This window comes from Homo sapiens, chromosome 8 (assembly GCF_000001405.40).
Source record: "Homo sapiens chromosome 8, GRCh38.p14 Primary Assembly".
Taxonomy (NCBI): domain Eukaryota; kingdom Metazoa; phylum Chordata; class Mammalia; order Primates; family Hominidae; genus Homo; species Homo sapiens.
The window spans coordinates 55,890,114-55,911,381 of record NC_000008.11 but is presented as its reverse complement, the minus strand read 5'-3'; the positions used below and the strand labels follow the sequence as shown (position 1 = coordinate 55,911,381).

The following is a 21,268-nucleotide window of genomic DNA, read 5'->3' as shown; positions in this document are numbered from 1 at the left end:
GGGAGGTCAAGGTGGGCAGATCACTTGAGGCCAGGAGTTCAAGAGCAGCCTGACCAGCATGGTGAAACCCTGTCTCTACTAAAAAAAAAAAAAAAATATATATATATATATATATATATATATACACACACACACGTATATATATATGTATATGTATATATATATACACGTGTATATATATATGTGTGTGTGTATATATATATATATACGTGTATATATATGTACATATATATACACGTATATATATGTATGTGTATATATATACGTATATATACGTGTATGTATATATATATATATATGTATGTATATATATATAAATTAGCCGGACATGGAGGTGGGCGCCTGTAGGCCCAGCTACCTGGTAGGCTGAGGCAGGAGAATCGCTTGAACCCGGGAAGCGGAGGTTGCAGTGAGCCAAGACTGCACCACTGCACTCCAGCCTGGGCGTCAGAGCGAGACTCTGTCTCAAAAAAAAAAAAAAACAAAATTAGTAAAAAGCCAAAAACCAAGGTGTTGATACGAAAACTACAAAAAGCAGAGGTGCCACAAACCTAATTCAACTGCAACAAGATGAAAATCACAAGGCAGGCTGAAAGCAGGGACTCTTCAGCTATAAGCAAAACAATTTTTGACTTAAGCTTATAGCCTTATTGGGAAGAAAATACATAAAATTAAAGAACAAAAGTGAAACCTGAATATATCTTAGAAATTATGTCTAACAACCCCAAAATTCATATGGAACCAAAAGAGAGCACAAATACCAAAGCAATCTTGTCCAGAAGGAGCAAAGCTAGAGGCATCATATTACTTGACTTCAAATTATTCTGCAAGGATATAGTCACCAAAACAGCATGGTACTGGCATAAAAATAGATACACAGATCAATGGGACAGAATAGAGAACCCAGGAATAAAGCTATAAATCTACGGCCAACTGATCTTTGACAAAGTCAACAAAAACATACACTGGGAAAAGGATACCCTTTTCAATAAATGGTGCTACAAAAACTGGTTGCCATATGCGGAAGAATGAAACTGGACTCCATATCTCTTACCATATACAAAAATCAACTCAAGATGAATTAAAGACTTAAATGTATGACATGAAAGCATAAAAATACTAGAAGAAAATCTAGGGAAAACACTTCTGGACATTGGTCTAGGCAAAGAATTCATGACTAAGACCTCAAAAGCACAGGCAACAAAAACAAAAGTAGACAAATGAGACTTACTTAAACTAAAAAGCTTTGCACAGCAAAAGAAATACTCAACAGGAATGAACCGACAACCTGCAGAATGGGAGAAAGTATATGCAAACTATGCCTTCGACAGAGGACTAATATGCAGAATTTACAAGAAACTCAAACAACTCAAAAAAAAAAAAAAAAAGACACACACACACACACACAAACAACCCCATTAAAAAGTGGGCAAAGAACATGAATACATATTTTTCAAAAAAAATACATACAAATAGCCAGCAAGCATATGAAAAAAATCCTCAACATCACTAATCATTAACACCAATCATCAGAAAAATGCAAATTAAAACCACAATGAGACTTCATCTTACACCACTCAGAATGGCTATTATTCAAAAGTGGAAAAACAAGAAGTCAATAGATATTGGTGAGGTTGCAGACAAAAGGCAATGCTTATACACTATTGGTGGGAATACAAATTAGTACAACTACTGTGGAAAACAGTATGGAGATTTCTCAAATAATGAAAACTGGAACTACCATTGATGCAGCAATCTCACTGCTGGGTATCTACTCAAAAGAAAAGATATCATTACATTAAAAAGAACAAGTGCTTGTATGTTTATTGGAGCACTATTCAGAATAGCAAAGATATGCAACCAACCTAAATGTCCATCAGCGGATGACTAGATAAAGAAAATGTGCTGAGGAGCCAATGGGGCGAATCTGCCATCTGTGGGATTATGACTGAACATGTCCAAGTCAGAATCCCACTCAGGTGGAACCTATGGCAGCGCCACAGAGCCTCCATGGGCCTTGTTGGCCCTGGATGGCTGGTCCCCACTGTCCCCACTAGAGGACTACTCTCCCCAATGCCAGGACTGGGGTCCAGTGCAGAGAGGCCCTCCTCCTGGGAAACAGGGTGCAGCTGGAAATGCAGTCGCACCCTGGCCCATCACGTGGCACACATTCATGGGGAACCTGGATTCTGGGTCCTAGACCCACCTGCTTCTGGGTCAGGGTTTCCTACTTAGCAGAGAAGCAAATTCGCCATGATCTACTGAAAGCCCTTGACACTAGTGTTTGAAATAAAAATAAATGAAGAAATAAAAGTAAAGAAAATGTGGGGTGTGTGTGTGTGTGTGTGTGTGTGTGTGTGTGTGTGTGTGTATATATATATATATATATATACATACACAATGGAATACCATTCAGCCACAAAAAAGAATAAAATTATGTATTTTGCAGCCATAAAAAAGAATAAAATTATGTATTTTGCAGCAACATAGATGGAAGAGGAGGCCATTATCTTAAGTAAAACAATTTATAAAGTCAAATACTGCATGTTCTCACTTATAAGTGGGAGCTAAATAATCTGCACACATGGACACAGAATGTGGAATGACAGGCAATGGAGACTTTGGAGGGTAAGAGGATGGGAAAGGGGTGAGAGAGAAATTACTTAGTGGGTACAATGTGTGCTACTCAGATGATGGTTACACTAAAAGCCCAGACTTCACCACTCTGCAATATATCCGTGTAACAAAACTGCACTTGCACCTCTTAATATTGTATAAGTAAAAAAGAAAGAAAATTATATCTAAAAAGGAATGTGCAATTATAAAAGGTTTAAACAGCCTTGGCACGGTGGCTCAGGCCTGGAATCCCAACACTTTGGGAGGCTGAGGTGGGCGGATCACCTGAGATTAGGAGTTCGAGACCAGCCTGGTCAACATGGTGAAACCCTGTCTCTACGAAAAATACAAAAATTAGCAGGTCGCGGTGGGGGGTGCCTGTAATCCCAGCTACTTGGGAGGCCACAGCAGGAGAATCACTCGAACCTGGGAGGCAGAGGTTGCAGTGAGTCGAGATTGCACCACTGCACTCCAGCCTGGGTGACACAGTGAGACTCTGTCTCAAATAAATAAATAAATAAATAAATAAATAAATAAATAAATGGTTTAAACAGCTTAGCTGTCTGGGAATTGATGCCCTTATCACCTTTAATTCTATTTTTAGCTTTCAAGCTTAGGAGGAAAAAACGGGTTGCCTGCAAATCATCCATGGTATGGCTAACGAGCAGTGTGACCTCAAGCAGCATATGCTAATCCTTCCCAGGATTTTATAATCCTCTTTATTCATTAGAACTGTTGGAGTTTCTAAACAAGTAAAACTTGAAGTTTTGGTTTCAACCCTTACAATCTGCTAAGGTAATAAAATGTTTGCAATAGTAATTAAGCCCTGTCTCTTATTTAGATATACATTTTTAAAAATTTGTATTTATTTATTTATTTAAACTACTTACTTATTTATGTGAAACAGGGTCTCACTCTGTCACCCAGGCTGGAGTGCAGTGGCCCTATTACAGCTCACTGCAGCCTCGACCTCCCAGGCCCAAGCAATCCTCCCACCTCAGCCTCCCTAGTAGCTGGGACCACAGGCGTGCACCACCACGTCCTGTTAATTTTTTTATTTTTGTAGAAACAGGGTCTCCCTATGTTGCCTAGGCTGGTCTTGAACTCCTGGGCTCAAGCAATCCTTCCACGTGGGTCTCTCAAAGTCCTGGGATTACAGGCGTGAGCCACTATGCCCAACTAAGTTTGATTTTCCACCAAAAAAAAAGCACCTACAATGAAAGGTAAAGATCCTAACTGTGCTGACATCAGTTCTGGTAGATGTATGTGCCCACGTAACCACCTTCCAAAACCAGACACAGAGCTTCCTTGACACCTCACAGGCCCATGGTGCTCCTTTCTAAGGCATCCCCTCTCATGACCCTGTTCCTGAACTTCACAGAAATGAAGTGCATATTCTTATCTGTTTGACTTATTTTATTGAAAATAATGTTTATCATAGAATACGTTATAGGTGAAAAAAAAGTTTTTGAGATTCAATCAGTGTTGAATATATCAGTGTCTCATTTTTTTGGTTGAGTAATACCCCATTTTATGAATATATCAAAATGTTTTGAACCACTCTTCTGATAATGAACATCTGAGATATTTCCAGGGTTGCATAATATTATGAATAAAGCTGCCATATATAGAACTGGACATGTCTTTTTGTGGACCTATGTTTTTCTTTCTCTTGGATTAATATCTAGAAGTGGAATTCCTTGGTCATGAGGTAGATGTATGTAGATTTTCTAAGAAATGACCAAAGGGTTTCCTGCAAGTGGCTATACCTGTTTATACTCGTCTCCCTGATCCTTGCCAGCATTTGGTCAGTCTGTTTTGCAAGGGATGGCAATGGCTCACTGAGCAAGCATTCATGATCCAGGAAGAGGAAAAATCATTCTCAATAGGACAGGGTTATTAAGGACAGGGCTCTCAGCTTACAGGAGGGCTGCTCCTTCTTCCTTCATCTGGAGGCTTACACCTCAGCTCAACTGTTGTTCAACTGGGATACATTTCATTTATTTCTCTCTCTCTCTCCTCTCTCTCTCTTTTTTTTTTCTTTTTCTTTTTTTTGGTAGAGACTGGGTCTTGCTACGTTGCCCAAGCTGATCTCAAATTCTTGACCTCGGCCAGGCGTGATGGCTCACGCCTGTAATCCCAGTACTTTGGGAGGCTGAGACAGGTGGATTACCTGAGGTGAGGAGTTCAAGACTAGCCTGGGCAACATGGTGAAACTCTGTCTCTACTAAAAATACAAAAATTAGCTGGGCGTGGTGGTGGGCACATGTAATCCCAGCTACTTGGGAGGCTGAAGGTGAATCACTTGAAGCCAGGAGGTGGAAGTTGCAGTGAACCGAAATCACGCCATTGCTGGGTGTGATTTCACTCCAGTCTGGGCGACAGATTGAAACTCTGTCAAAAACAAAACAAAACAAAACAAAACAAAACAAAAAAAACGAATTCTTGGCCTCAAGCAATCCTCCCACCTCAGCCTCCCAAAGTACTGGTATTACAGGCATGAGCCACTGTGCCTGGCCCACTTATTTTCTTCTTTATCAAAGCATGTTCATATACTCTTTCACAACCAACCCCGATTAAATCCTGATCAGAAATTCTAACAGATGGCAAAAGATGGCTCAGAAATGGAGTAATTTGCCCAGAGTTTACAGGGCGACCTCACCATCCCAGCCCTCTGACTTAACAGGTGCTGCGTAACTGCACATATCAGATGAACTACTGTATGGAAAAAGAAAGAAAAGCAACAACACAAAACTACTGAATGCTGTGAGTTATGTAGAACTATGCTGCACTTGGTGGTTTCTGACTACATGCTCCTTTCTCACTATAGGCTTCTTTCCAGAAGTCAAGATGAATGGGCAACCTCTGGGACTGCCAGAGGTGTGTCCCAGGAACAGAGGAGCGGGCTCTTTGCATGGGAGACACTCCAGGCCTAATGGGAAGTCCCTGGAGCAAGGGACTTCATGCACTCACATGATGCATATGACACAGACAAGGCAACGCTGTTTTGGTGAGTGAGGCTCTCCCAACAGATGGGAGAGGAGTGAGGCTCTCCCTGCTCCCCTGCCCATCCCATAGGCCTCTTAAGTGTTTGGGGGTGACTAGGAAAAGAAAGGACTCCAACCCTGGGAAACTATCCATCCTCTTAACTGGGACATTTGTGGTTCCCTTTTCCCGAGATGACCTTGCGGTAGCTTTTCTAGCTGGGTAGCTAGCAATTCTGGACACATCTCAGCACTCCAGGACATCTGACATTCAGGTGGGAACTGACTGGATATTAACTGGGCCACCTTAATTCACTGACCACCATGTTTTCTTTTGTCTTTCTTTCTTTCTTTCTTTCTTTCTTTTTTTTTGAGACGGAGTTTCACTCTTGTTGCCCAGGCTGGAGTGCAATGGCACTATCGGCTCACTGCAATCTCCACCTCCCGGGTTGAAGTAATTCTCCTGCTCAGCCTCCGGAGTAGCTGGAATCACAGGTGCCTGCCACCACGCCTGGCTAATTTTTTGTATTTTTAGTAGAGATGTGGTTTCACCATGTTGGCCAGGCTGGCCTTGAACTCCTGACCTCAGGTGATCCGCCTGCCTCAGCCTCCCAAAGTGCTGGGATGACAGGCACGAGCCACCACACCCAGCCAGGTCACCATGTTTTCTAAAATAGCCGAAAGATTCCCACATAGCTGAATCTAGTAAAATGATTCTCATCCTTGGTACACAAGCAGAATCACCTGGGGAACTCTAAAAAATACTGATGCTTAGGCCCCCACCATTCCCATTTCATTGGTTAGGGAACAGCTTGGGCATGGGGAGGTTTAAATGCTCCCCATTGATTCTAATGAGCAGCCAGGGTTGAGAATCACTAGCCACACTCTACACTACAACCTTACCTGCTTTTGAAAAAGGGTAAAATGCGCAGTCTAATAATGTAGGGAACCTTGCCAAACCCTGAGCTCCACCCTAGAATTGAAATCATAGCAATGGAAACCTTTTATGTTTATCTTCTTTTTTTTCTTTTTTGAGATGGAGTCTCGCTCTGTTACAAGGCTGGAGAGCAGTGGTGCAATCTCGGCTCACTGCAAACTCCACCTCCCGGGCTCAAGCAATTCTCCTGCCTCAGCCTCCCGAGTAGCTGGGATTACAGGCATGAGCCACCGCACCTGGCCATTTCTTTATCTTTTATAGGTGCATGATCTGCAGGGTAACACATACAGAAATTATTTTGTGTGGCATCATAATTCCATGCCCTATTAAAGGGTGGGGACTGGAATTTATCCACTGCCAACCTAACCCCATATGTGAACTCAGAACAGAAAAAATGCTCAGAAAAAAGGGTGGTCTGTGATTGACAAATAGAACCCAGGATTGTAAATACATTTGCTGGTGTTCAGTAAAGTTTAGTAAAGTTGAATTTCATATCATATTTCATATCATATTCTAAGAAATTTATTTTCATTCCATCAACCCGACAGCCAAATAATTGAGTTACTTACTCCTGAATTTGGTTACACTATAGCCATAAAGAAAATGTTGGTATTTACAAAGTATTAGCTTCAGGGTATATTTTATTTAAAAAATTGTTCATCGTACTTATTTCAGATTTATCTATTAAAGTCCTGCTATTATTTTTTTTAATTTCAGGAGTCATTCTACCTCATTGTTTATCAACTTTCAGAGAACACATTTTTTACAAGTGATAAAGTAATTCTACTTTATGTTTGAAACTCCAAGCTCTACATAAATGATAAAACACTTTTTTTTTGAGACTCTGTCTTACTCTGTTGTAATGGCACAATCACAGCCCAGTGCAGCTGCAACCTCCGAGGCTCAAGCGGATCCTCCCATCTCAGCCTCCCAAGTAGCTAGCTGGGACTACAGGGCCATGCCACCATGCCTGACTAATTTCTTTTTATTTTCTGTAAAGATAGGGTCTCTCTATGTTGCCCAGGCTGGTGTCAAACTCCTGGGCTCAAGTAATCCTCCTACCTTGGCCTCCCATAGTGCTGGGATTACAGGTGTGAGCTACCATGGATAAAACACTTTAAATTCTACATTTAGAATAATAGCCAGGTTAATCATACATAGGTAACAAGTTACTTTCAAAAGGAAGGTCTCAATAAAACTTAATTATTCAGATTAGATTATCAACATAGAAACAGAAAGAGCTTACAGTGAAAAATATCCTTCCAGGAAATGATTTATCCCTGATCTTAAAGGGAAAACTTAGAAAAGCAGCAAATTTTCAAACTATTCAGCTCATGAAAAGTTGGTAATCAAAAACACTCAAGTAGTTTTTTAGTCTCTTGTTGAAGTTTATTTCATCTTTGTCTACTTTCCCTCACAGGGCATGATATAGAAGCCTTAATATTTTCATTGTTCCCTACTGGAATCTCTCTGTTCTTTTGAATACTTCAAATAAACACCTCAAAGAAGAGCTGCTCACCATGAAGACAACTTCCCATTCAAGAAAGTACAAGGCCCAGCACGGTGGCTCACGCCTGTAATCCCAGCACTTTGGGAGGCTGAGGTGGGCGAATCACTTGAGGTGAGGAGTTCGAGACCAGCCTGGCCAACATGGTGAAATCCCGTCTCTACCAAATATATAAAAATTAGCTGGGCGTAGGCCGGGCGCAGTGGCTCACGCATGTAATCCCAGCACTGTGGGAGGCTGAAGTGGGCGGATCGCGAAGTCAGGAGTTCGAGACCAGCCTGGCCGATATGGTGAAACCCTGTCTGTACTAAAAAATACAAAATTAGCTGGGTGTGGTGGCACACACCTGTAGTCCCAGCTACTCGGGAGGCTGAGGCAGGAGAATCGCTGGAACCCAAGAGGCGGAGGTTGCAGTGAGTGGAGATTGCGCCGCTGCACTCCAGCCTGGGCAACAAAGAGAGACTCCGTCTCCAAAAAAAAAAAGCCTCATGCTAGATGAGAATGGGCACTGTTGATCAAGGTGTCCAAAAATAGTTAATGTGGCTAAATTGAGATAGGTTATGCTTCCATCACAGTATGCATATTGCAGTGGTGACAATGAGACCTGTAACATTTTGCCATGCTTATGAGTAAAATATGTAGAAGAAAAATGTTGACTTTCAAAATAACATTTAAGTAATAAGGAATTTTCAGCTCTTATCTCATAGGACTACTGTTGTTGTTGTTTTTTTTTTGTATGCTATATATTGATTGAAACATTGTAATGTGGTACATGACTGTGTTTTGGATCAGGTGTCAAAATATAAGTGTACTTTGTACAATTCAACTTCTAGAAAAAAAAAATTAGCTGGGCGTTGTGGAGCGCACCTGTAATTCCAGCTACTCAGGAGGCTGAGGCAGGAGAATTGCTTGAACCTGGGAGGCGGAAGTTGCAGTGAGCTGAATTCACGCCACTGCACTCCAATCTGGGCTACAGAGCGAAATTCCATCTCAAAAAAAAAAAAAAGAAAGAAAGAAAGTACACTGTTACGGCCAGGCGCAATGGCTCACGCCTATCATCCCAGCACTTTGGGAGGCAAAAATGGGCAGATCACCTGAGGTTGGGAGTTCGAGACCAGCCTGACCAACATGTAGAAACCCTGTCTCTACTAAAAATACAAAATTAGCCAAGCAGTGGTGGCACATGCCTGCAATCCCAGCTACTCGGGAGGCTGAGGTGGGAGAATTGCTTGAACCCAGGAGACAGAGGTTGTGGTAAGCCAAGATCGCACCATTGCAGTCCAGTCTGGGCAATAAGAGTGAAACTCGTCTCAAAAAAAAAAGAAAGTACAGGTACGTTTTTTAGAATGATGATACATCATCACTGACTCACTTGGTTTCTGCAACCAGATCCTTTCCCGTGTCTGTGCAGTCATGACTCCATTGCTGCCCTGAGGTGGTATACTAACCCAAATCACAGTCTGAAAGTCATTTTTCATTTAGGTTCTTCCCTGCTTATCTTTGGTTGAGCCAGGAAATGCAACTTGATAATGACTCAGCACAAGCTATTCAGCTGGGAGCCGGTTCCTAGCCACATCCAGCTCCGCGTTGGAAATATCTGAAGTGGTCAGTCTAGGATAGAGCAGTGCTGCTGTAGCTTCCAGGTAGGGTTTCCTGAAGTGTATGCCCAATGCTCTTTCTGAATCAGCACTGAAAATATTCATGCAGGACCTCCCCCGGCCCTACCTGACCCCACAGAGCAAGAGCAATACATTCCTCTGCCTGTCACTAGGCCCTGGGCTGCCAGGTTTGGGGGATACTAAGTCCAGGGAAACCACCAGAAGTAGTTCCAGGGAGGCCACAGGTGTGCAAAAGAAGGATCCCATGCATGAGCCCAAGAAGGAGTCTAAAGCCTGGCCTTGAGATGAAACCGTTCAATTAAACAGTTCCTTTCATATTAAAGTCAATGTAAAAATACCATCACTTACACTGACTTCATCAGACAAGAGAACACTGGGGTTTTGCTTAAAGAATCATCTGACAGCCTCAGTAATGAAAGGAGGTGGAGGAATTCTATCAATTTTCCTGTTTTAAAGGACGAGGTGAAGTCTTACCCATTTTGTAACTGCTATTCTAATCGGAGAACTATTCAGAAGTGGAAACATCTATTCATAAAGTATTACGGGGGGAAGGAGAGGGAAAAAAAAGCATTATGAACATCATATGAGACACACGGCCACGAAGTGCCCAAGTGCTGAGCAAAAGCACTGGCAGTATGGTTTACATCACTTCCCAATAAACCAGTTTTGCTCAGGCATCATAGAGGCACTGCTGCAAATGCCACCAAGAAACCAGAACAGGAAAGGGGCTATGTGGCTCACTCAATCCACGTCTTCTTTGCCAATTATCCTTCTTTTTGTTGTTAGTAAACTCTCAACTAGAACCTTAATAACTTTTCAATGTCTAAGATTTTGTGGCAGCATTTTAAGATAAAGAGTTAGGAGAATATAAGATTTCCAAGAGCTATTCTCCTTAATGTGGAAAAAAATGCAAGCTAGATAAGTATTTAGCAAAAGAAAAGTATGAGATACATACTGAAGAGAAGGTTTAATCCAAACATAATTAAATCTTAGCTATAAAAAAATTATTAGCTTTGCTTTGGCAAAAGAAGAAAATTAAACTGGGCACAATGGCTCACACTTATAATCCCAATACTTTGGGAGGCCAAGACTGGAGGACCATTTGAGGCCACGAGTTTGAGACTAGCCTGGGCACCATAGTAAGGTCCTATCTCCACCAAAAAAAAAAAAAAAAAAAAATTAGCTGGGCATGGTGATGTGACTCTGAAGTCTCAGCTACTCAGGAAGCTGAGGCAGGAGGACCACTTGAGCCAAGGAGTTCAAGGCTGCAGAGAGCAATGATCACATCACTGTACTTCAGCCTGGGCAACACAATGAAATCCTATCCCTAAAAAAAATTAAAAATAAAAAAGAGGAAGATTATTTTTCCCCCAACAAATAGTGACATTTATAATAGATATAAACTGAGTTGTCAGCTGAAGTTAATGCAGAAAACTCAACTGGCTTGACACTCATCATGCTTTAAACTTGACGCAATGTTTAAATATTCATTGCAACTCCAGTGAATTTTTTTCTTCTTCATTTTTCCCAGCTATGGTTATAGTAAAAATTGCACCAAGTTGGCAGAACTGGGGGCTCTCTTGTTTTGGCCTTGCTGACTGGTTTTCAGTGTCTGAGCTCTTGTCTTCCTGAAGTTCGAGTGGCAGCGCATTAGATTCCTGGAGCAGTAGTTAAGCTTGAGCTAAACATCCTAGGCCCAAGTTCAGCTCCACCTCGTACAGTGACATGACATTGGCAAGGTAATTCATCTTTACTTATCTGCAGAAAAGGGATGATAAGGCTGGGCACGGTGGCTCATGCCTGTAATCCTAGCACTTTGGGAGGCCGAGGCGGGTGGATTGCCTGAGCTCAGACCAGCCTAGGCAACACGGTGAAACCCCATCTCTACTAAAATACAAAAAATTATCTGGGCATGGTGGCGTGTGCCTGCAATCCCAGCTACTTGGGAAGCTGAGACAGGAGAATCACTTGAACCCAGGAGGCAGAGGTTGCAGTGAACTGAGATCGTGCCATTGCACTCCAGCCTGGGTAACTGTGTAAGACCCCATCTCAAAAAAGAAAAGAAAAAAGAAAAGAAAAGAAAAGGGATGATAACTGTACCAACTTCACACACTTGTTATAAGGATTGGTTGAATACAATCTTGACGAGTGTTTAGAAGAACGAATGACATACCGTGTGCACTCAATAAATGTTCTCTGCATTATATTTATTATACATTTCCCAGAAGTGGTCTTATTCCTGCGTTTACATTTATGTTAATGTATAAAGTCTGCTTGATAAACTAAAGTCAAGGACATTATGTTCCACATATTACAACTGTGATTTTTTAAAAAATAACCTTTCAAAGTTAAATAAAACAAACACATCAGTTTAGGGGTCCGGCTGACTTGGGTTCCATTTACTTAGTAGTTAAGTGAGCATAATATTTATTATCCCCAAGCATCTGTTTCCTTATCAATAACAAGAATATCAATATTACACCTTTTAAGGAATTGACTACCTAACAGAGGACAAATATTTAATAAAGGATTGCTATTCTTACTATATTTTCTGTGAAAGGTAATTATTGCCTGATACAAAAGTAAAACAGGTAGTAACTGTGCTGGCATCATTGTAAAACTCTTCCAACTAAGAAAGAAACTTAGCTGGGTACAGTGTCTCATGCCTGTAATCCCAACACTTTGGGCAATATATGGAGACCTCATCCTTACAAAAAATAAAAAAAATTAGCCCAGCACAGTGGTGTACACCTGTGGTCCCAGCTACACAGGAGGCTGAGGCAGGAGGATTGCGTGAGCCCAGAAGATCAGAGGCTACAGTGATCGTGATTGTGCCACTGCACTCCAGGCATCAGAGCAAGAAACTGTCTATTTAAAAAAAGGAAATCATTAAAACCAGTTTCCTAAAATTTATTATAGAGCTAGAAATAGATTAGTGACTGCCTAGGACAAGGGGAAGAGAGTAGTGAGGGCTAAAGGATACAGAATTTCTTTTTGTGTAATAAAAATGTTCTAAAATTGATTGTGGTGATGATTGCACAACTCTGTGAACATACTAAAAATCACTGAATTGTATACTTTGAGTGAATTATACAATATGTGAATTATATCTCAATAAAACTATTATTCAGCTGGGTGTGGGTGGCTCACACCTGTAATCTCAACACTATGGGAGGCCAAGGCAGGTGAATCACTTGAGTCCAGGAGTTCAAGACCAGCCTGGGCAACATGGTGAGACTTTGTCTCTACCAAAAATACAAAAATTAGCCAGGCATGGTTGCACGTGCCTGTGGTCTCAGCTACTTGGGAGGCTGAGATGGGAGGATTGCTTGAACACGGAAGGCGGAGGTTGCAGTGAGCCAAGAGTGTGCCACTGCACTCCAGCCTGGGTGACAGAGGGAGACTCTGTCTCAAAACAAAATTAAAAGTAAAAATAAAGCTGTTATTATAAAAGACAATAAAACGATCACATACAGTATGAATCTATTTATATGACATTACAGAAAACACAAAACAATGGGGACAGACAACAGGTCAGCAGTTGCCAGGCATTGGGCTGGGGGTGGCACAAGAAAGTTTTTTTTTGGGGGGAGGGTGTCACAGAACTTTTCTGTATTCTCATTATGAAAATAATTCAGTGAATCTGCACATGTATTAAAATTCATAGAGCTATATAGCAAAATTTTAAAGTTGATTTAAAAAACATAAAAAGTTTTCTTAAAATCGTCTATTTTCATTTTAATTTTTTCCAAAGAAAAAAATTGCTTACTAATCTTTAAAAGTTTTTGTTGTTGTTGTTGTTGTTTGTGAGACAGGGCCTCACTGTCACGCAGGCTGGAGTACAGTGGCGCGATCTCGACTCACTGCAGCCTCCACCTCTCAGGCTCAAGCAATCCTCCCAACTCAGCCTCCTGAGTAGCTGGGAATACAGGCCCATGCCACCACTCTTGGCTAATTTTTTTAATTTCCTATAGAGATGAGGTCTCACTATGTTGCCTAGGATGGTCTCAAACTTCTGCGCTCAAGTGATCTTCCTGCCTCGGCCTCCCAAAGTGCTAGCATTACAGGTGTGAGCAACTGCACCTGACCTTAAAAGTTATTCTGATGGCTAAGAGTGCTTATATCCCATTACTAAAGATTTTGAAATATTTTAGATACATATGAAGTAGTAGTAGTAGGTTTTCTGTTAAAATGGAGGAGAAATTGAGGTAGAAAAGGCAAATTTGAACAGTAAGACAGAACTGTTACTAGACTCTGGAGATCTTCTGCTGTCAACCCCTCGAAACCACCATGTGCAAAGTCAGAGGTGTGCTCAGCGTCAGAATGCTCCCTCCTGATCTCAAGTCTTGGTAAAACTTCCAGAAGCATGTAGCTTATTATTATGAGGAGGAGGGAAGTACCTTTTAAGGTACAACAGAGAAAGCTTTACTGTTCTTAATCTAAACTCTGAATTTTCATTTATATGGCATGATAGGCGTCACATGAATCAAAGTTCTAATGTACTGTTGCTTGATTTTCAGCTCCTTATCAGGAGAAATTAGGTCAAGACTGTAATGCGATCAATCAGAAGATACCTGTGGATGTTGAAACTGCATAAAGCCAGCGTTCGGGTGAGTAACATCGTTCTCCAACCAGCTCATTCCATTGCAGTTATTTCCTCATCATTTAAATGAAGTTTAGGCCGGGTGCAGTGGCTCATGCCTGTAATTCCAGCACTTTGGGAGGCCAAGGCAGGCGGATCACCTAAGGTCAGGAGTTTGAGATTAACCTGGCCAACATGGCAAAACCCCGTCTCTACTAAAAATACAAAAATTAGCTGGGGGTGATGGCGGGCACCTGTAGTCCCAGCAACTCAGGAGGCTGAGGTAGGGAGAATTGCTTGAACCCGGAAGGCAGAGGTTGCGGGGAGCCGAGATCACGCCACTGCACTCCAACCTGGTTAACAGAGCGAGGCTCTGTCTCTAAATAAATAAATAAATAAACGTGAGGAGCTTGGGGGGAATGCCTCTCTTACTAAATTAGGTATGGTTTTTATTCTATGTTTCTTTTTTTTAAAATTTTTTTATTATACTCTAATTTCTAAGATACATGTGCCGAACATGCAGGTTTGTTACATAGGTATACATGAGCCATGGTGGTTTGCTGTACCCACCATCCCGTCATCTACATTAGGTATTTCTCCTAATGCCATCTCTCCCTTAGGCCCCCCACCCCCCGACAGGCCCCGGTGTGTGATGTTCCCCTCCCTGTGTCCATGTGTTCTCATTGTTCAGCTCCCACTTATGAGTAAGAACATGCCGTGTTTGGTTTTCTGTTCTTATGTTAGTTTGCTGAGAATGATGGTTTCCAGCTGCATCCATGTCCCTGCTATTCTGTTTCTTTATTTATAAACTTGCTTTTGTTTCTTTGTTTGATGTTGTTGTTTCTTTTTCTTTTCTTTTTTTTTCAGAGATGAGAGTCTTGCTCTGCTACCCAGGCTGGAGTGCAGTGGCATAATCATAGCTCACTGCAGCCTCCAACTCCTGGACTCAAGGGACCCACTCACTTCAGCCTCCAGAGCAGCTAGGATGACAGGGGCATGCCACCACGTCTAGCTAAAACTTGTTTTTTTTTTTTAATTGCTTTACCCCTAACGAGATGCTTAAGGATGAGCTAATGATAAAAGAAAAGGTGTTCTCTTTGCTATTTGTCATAACATTTTGAGAAGAATGAAAGTGCACCTGGTATGTACACCAAATTTCCACTTCCCCACAGGACTGGTGATGATGCATGAGTGAATCTACCAGAACAGGCCAGGGGTACCATGAGTAGGGAGTGGGTAGGGATCCTCCAAAATCAAGAAAAGGCTCGGGGTAGTACAGTTTAATCCAAAACAACAGCCAAAACTGGGTAGAAAATTAGACTCTTCAAGGAACTCCCAGGTACATTACCCCGTTTAATCCTTGCAACAACTGGATGAGATACCAAACAAAAATCTGTTATTACTGTTTTATGTATTAGAAAAACATTAGATGAAGGAGCTTCATCTAATGTCCCAAGACTGGTATTTGACAAAGCATTGACTAGAAGCCAATTCCTTTAAAAAAAAAATTGTAGAGATGAGGTCTCACTATGATGCCCAGCCTGGTCTTGAATTCCTGGCCTCAAGTGATCCTCCTGCCTTGGCCTCCCCAAGTGCTGTGACTACAGGTGTGAGCCACCACACCCAGCCCAGAAACCAATTCATGACTCTCAGTTTATGACTACGACATCATGCTGCTCCTCAGACACCCCAAAGTTCACAACCTGGAATATTTTTCATTAGCTACTACAGTGTTACTAATCCATACCTATATTATTCACCAAGATTAGTAAGGAATCCAGCCAAGTTATTTCCCCATCTCTTCCTACTTTATTTCCAACTAAGGGACTCACTTCTTCACTTGGAAACTGTTCTGCTCTGGTCAGTCTCCTTAGTCCAATATTCCCTCCATTCTCAGGATTCACTCTTTGTTCAAATCCTCTGTAGCATCCAGCAGTTGCTAACAGAGACAAGCAGTTAAAACGCAGAGATGCCAAGCATCAGGAACTGTGGCTGGAGGAAATAAACTGGAGGTTTTGGGGCTGGCTGCAGTGGTTCACGTCTGTAATCCCAGCACTTTGGGAGGCTGAAGCAGGTGGGAAGATCGCTTGAGACCAGGAGTTCAAGACCAGCCTGGGCAACATAGTGAGATCCCCAACTATACAAAAAATTTTAGGCTTGGCACTGTGGCTCACACCTGTAATCCCAGCACTTTGGGAGGCTGAAGCACATGGATGGATCACTTGAGCACAGGAGATTGAAACCAGCCTGGGCAACATGGCAAAACCCCATCTCTACAAAAAATACAAAAATTAGCCAGGCAGGCCAGGCATGGTGGCTCACGCCTGTAATCCCAGAACTTTGGGAGGCTGAGGCGGGTGGATCACCTGAGATCAGGAGTTTGAGACCAGCCTGGCCAACACGGCAAAACCCCGTCTCTACTAAAAATACAAAAAAATTAGCTGGGTATGGTGGCAGGTGCCTGTAATAATAGCTACACAGGAGGCTGAAGAAGGAGAATAGCTTGAACCCACGAGGCAGAGGTTGCAGTGAGCCAAGATAGCGCCAATGAACTCCAGCCTGGGCAACAGAACAAGACTCCGTCAAAAAAAAAAAAAAAATTAGCCAGGTGTAGTGGCACATGCCTGTAGTCTCAGCTACTTGGGAGGCTAAGGTGGGAGGATCCCTGGAGCCCAGGAGGTTGAGGCTGCAGTGAGCCAAGATTGAGCCACTGCACTTAAGTTTGGGTGACAGAGTGACCACTGTCTCAAAAAAAAAAAAATTAAGAAAGTTAATCTGGCACAGTGGCATGCACCTCTAGTCCCAGCTACTCAGGAGGCTGAGGAGGGAGGATCACTTAAGCCCAGGAGGTGGAGGCTGCAGGAGCCATGACCATGCCACTGCACTCCAGCCTCAGCAACAGAACAAGACCCTGTCTAAAATAATAAAAAGTAAAAAATAAAATAAAAATAAGCTGGGGGGGTTGGGGGATGCAGACAGGCAAACTACAGGCTCAGCATGATCTCTTGGGGTATGGTTATTCCTTGCATGGCCAGGACTTCACTTGTGACTTTTTCACAGAAAGATGGGTCCCTTAGTGGGTCCCACAGAAAGATGAACCCACAGATGGGTCCAGTGCCTGTGCATGTTCTTCATATCTTGTGTGACACAAAAATTTATACTCTAAGCCAGGTGCAGTGGCACATGCCTCTAGTCCCAGCTACTCGAGAAGCTGAGGCAGGAGGATCACTTCAGCCCAGGATCTCAGGACCATAGTGTGTGAGTGATAATCGTGCCTGTGAATGGCCAGTGCACTCTAGCCTGGGCAACATAGTGAGATCTTGCTTCTAAAAAAAAACAAAACAAAACAACAAAAATAAAAGGAAAATTTTCTTTAAAAAAAAGTTTTTTAAACATTTTAACTCTCTGAGTATATCTGGAACAGTTTTGCTATTGAGAACTCATGGCTTTGACTGCAAGTCATATGCATGCATATTCATGAGTAGTGAGTATCCAAGAAGTGTTTTCTGAATGATGCATAAGTGAAGCATGACTTCATGGATTAACAAATGCCACAGGTCAATTATGCCTCTCTCTGTCACCCCCAACAAAAATAAATATCAAAACTACATGAAACAGAAGTTGAAATAACAGTCAGTAACAAAGGTGCTGTGTTCCTTAACATCAGAAAAATGAGTCTTTATTTTATTGAAGAACAGCATCACTGAATTCACAAACCCAGTTAGTACTTTCAAATGCCTATGCACAGACTGGCACTGTGTCATATAACAGGATGTTTGATTACATGTGGGTCAGTGGAAACCACCCTTATCACACCCACATATTTGCATTTATAAATTGACTTGGCTGTGCAGAAAAACCAGCTATATATAGCTTATGCCAGCTAATTTTACTAATTAATGGATGAATAAAAAGGTATTTAAATAAGGCTCAGATCAAACTCATGTGTGAGAATTTTAGCAACTGAATCGCCAGGGTAAAACAGGACGAGGTCTTGCTCTCCAGTTGAATTGCAAGTAAATTCCACACACAGAGAGATGCCGGTGGTAGCCAAACCCACAGCTTGAAAATCTGTTTATTTGCCAAACCAAATGGCTTTGTACTGCTTTTCAATTCCCTACACTTTATTGTTTAGAAGCCTACACTGGAAACTAAACAAAAACTAGAAGTAGAATGGCAGATGCCTTTCAGGGGAGTACTGCTTGGGGGAGGGTCAACATCATTCTGCTTTTTGATCATGGGGGTGGTTACACAAGGCTTTGCATTCAGCTAGATTCTTCTGTTTTCTGCACTTTTCTATGTAAGTGTTATACTTAAATTTTAAACACACATACACACACATACACACACACTCCTGCATTGGGAAAACTTTTTAAAAAATTCCCTCGAATCCTGTTAGAAAGAACTGTGTCAGAAATATTCTTTCTTTGGCAAGGCACAATGGCTCATGCTCGTAATCCCAGGACTTTGGGATCTCGAGATGGGAGGATCATTTGAGCCCAGGAGTTCAAGGCTGCAATGAACTATGATGGTATCACTGCACTCCATCTTGGGTGACAGAGCAAGACCCTGCCTCAAAAAAAAGAAAGATACTTTCTTATTATGTAATTTGGAGTTAATGAGTGCATGGCTAGAAATATTAATATAACTGTATCATCAAATCAGGAAGCACCTTTTACAGCCATCTAATGCAACTTTTTTATGTATTTATTTTTTTGAGATGGAGTCTTGCTCTGTCGCCCAGGCAGGAGTCCAACGGCGTGGTCTCAGCTCAATGCAAACTCCACCTCCTAGGTTCAAGTGATTCTCCTGCCTCAGCCTCCCAAGTAGCTGGGACTACAGGTGTGTGCCACCACACCTGGCTATTTTTGGATTTTTAGAAGAGATGGGGTTTCACTTTGTTGACCAGGCTGGTCTTGAACTCCTGACCTCGTGATCCATCTGCCTCGGCCTTCTAAAATGCTGGGATTACAGGTGTGCGCCACTGCGCCCTGGCCTTAATGCAACCTTTTCTAAAAGGTCTTGTAAGAATCTCTTAGCCTTTGCTGACAAACATTTAATGATGGAGAAGGACCCTTCTCCAGGACCCATGCAGGCAGCTTTGATGGTTAGAAGTTTCTCCTTACTTTGTAATCCACAATCTCTGCCTTTGTAAATTTCTCCATTATCATTCCCTCTCCCACATCACAGCCATTTCAATATACTGTCAGCCAGCAATCCACGTGGCCATGTATTAAATGACGAAGAGTAAAGATCCTGTCCTCTCTCTGCCAAAAAAGTGAACACCCGTCTGCTTGGTAGGTAAATACCCAGCCAGAAGAAGGGCAATTTATCAAACTTAATGAAATATCCTCAAGGACACCTCTGTCTATTTGTACACGTATCTGCTCATCAAGCAACTTTTTTTTCATTCTTTAAAGTTGTGGTAAAATAAACACAATATAAAACTTGTATCGTAACTATTTTAAGTATATAACTCAGTGGCATTAAGTACATTCATATTCTTGTATAACCATCACACCATCCATCTCCAGAACTCTTTTCATCTTGCAAAACTGAAACTCTGTACCCATTAAGCAGTAACTTCCCATTCCCTCCCCCATCAAGCCCCTGGAAGACACCATTCTATTTTCTGTCTCTATGAATTTGACTATTTGAGGAACCTCACATTAGTGGACTCATACAGTATTTGTCTTTTTGTGTCTGGCTTATTTCACTTAGCATGATGTCCTCAAGTTTTGTCCTTGTTGTATCATGTGTCAGCATTTCCTTTTTTTTTTTTTTGAGCCGGAGTTTCGCTCTTGTTGCCCTGGCTGGAGTGCAGTCGCGGGATCTCGACTCACTGCAACCTCTGCCTCCCGGGTTCAAGTGATTCTTCTGCCTCAGCCTCCCAAGTAGCCAGGATTACAGGCATGCACCACCATGTTCGACTAATTTTGTATTTTTAGTAGAGATGGGGTTTCTCCATGTTGGTCAGGCTGGTGTCAAACTGCCGACCTCAGGTGATCCGCCCACCTTGGCCTCCCAAAGTGCTGGGATTACAGGCATGAGCCACCGCACCCAGCCAGCATTTCCTTTTTTTAAAGGCTGAATAACATTCCATTGTATGGCTGGGCACGGTGGTTCATGCCTGCAATCCCAGCACTTTGGGAGGCCACAGCAGGTAGATTGCTTGAGCCCAGGAGTTCAAGATTAGCCTGGACAACATGGCAAAACCTTATCTCTACAAAAAATACAAAAAACTAGCCAGGCATGGTGGCATGCACCTGTAGTCTCAGCTACTCAAGAGGCTGAGGTGGGAGGATCACCTGAGCCCAGGAAGTCAAGTCTATAGTGAGCTGTAATGGTGCCACCACACTCTAGCCCGGGTGACAGAGTAAAACCCTGTTTCAAAAAAAAAAAAAAAAAATTCCAATGTACATATAAACCACATTTTATTTCATCCATTGATGAACATGAGTTACTTCTAATTCTTGGCTATTGTGAATAATGCTACTATGAACACAAGTGTACAAACATCTCTGAGACCCCACATTCAGTTATTTGGGGTATATACCCAGAAGCAGCATTGCTGCATCATATGGCAATTCTATGTCTAATTTTTTGAGGAACTACCATATGATTTTCCATCATAGCTGTAGCATTTTACACTCCCACCAACAAAGCACAGGATTCCAATTTCTCCACATCCTTGGCACCACTTATTATTTTCTGATTTTTGTTGTTGTGTTCTTTTTTAACATGACATGATTTCATCATGATTTCTCATTTTTTATAGTAGCCATCCTAAGCAACTTTCTTTTTATTATTGTTATTATTATTTTACAGACAGGCTGTCGCTCTGTCACCCAGGATGGAGTGTGGTGGTGTAATCATTGCTCACTGCAGCCTCAATCTCCTGGGCTCAAGCAATCCTCCTGCCTCAGTCTCCTGAGTAGTTGAGACTATAGGATTACATCACTGCACTCTGAGTAATTTTTATTTGTTTTTATTTATTCTTTTTTTTTTTTTTTTTTTTTGTCT

The 21,268-nt window shown here is 41.9% G+C and overlaps 1 protein-coding gene and 1 non-coding gene across 4 annotated transcripts in view, besides 1 other annotated feature; one reads left to right on the top strand and one right to left on the bottom strand.

Annotated features, from left to right (window-relative positions):
* Window positions 1-21,268, bottom strand: part of LYN (LYN proto-oncogene, Src family tyrosine kinase) — a 134,335-nt gene that overhangs the window by 102,788 nt on the left and 10,279 nt on the right. The gene's annotated exons all lie outside the window — the stretch shown is intronic.
* SNORA1B (small nucleolar RNA, H/ACA box 1B) lies at window positions 8,527-8,659 on the top strand. The gene has a single exon (NR_145767.1). It is a non-coding gene; the product is annotated as a small nucleolar RNA, H/ACA box 1B (small nucleolar RNA).
* Window positions 19,849-19,898: a silencer, noted in NCBI's record as "silent region_19207". NCBI's record gives its function as "represses an Ori minimal core promoter by ATAC-STARR-seq in GM12878 lymphoblastoid cells {active_cell/tissue: GM12878}" and the evidence as "EXISTENCE:reporter gene assay evidence [ECO:0000049][PMID:35858748]".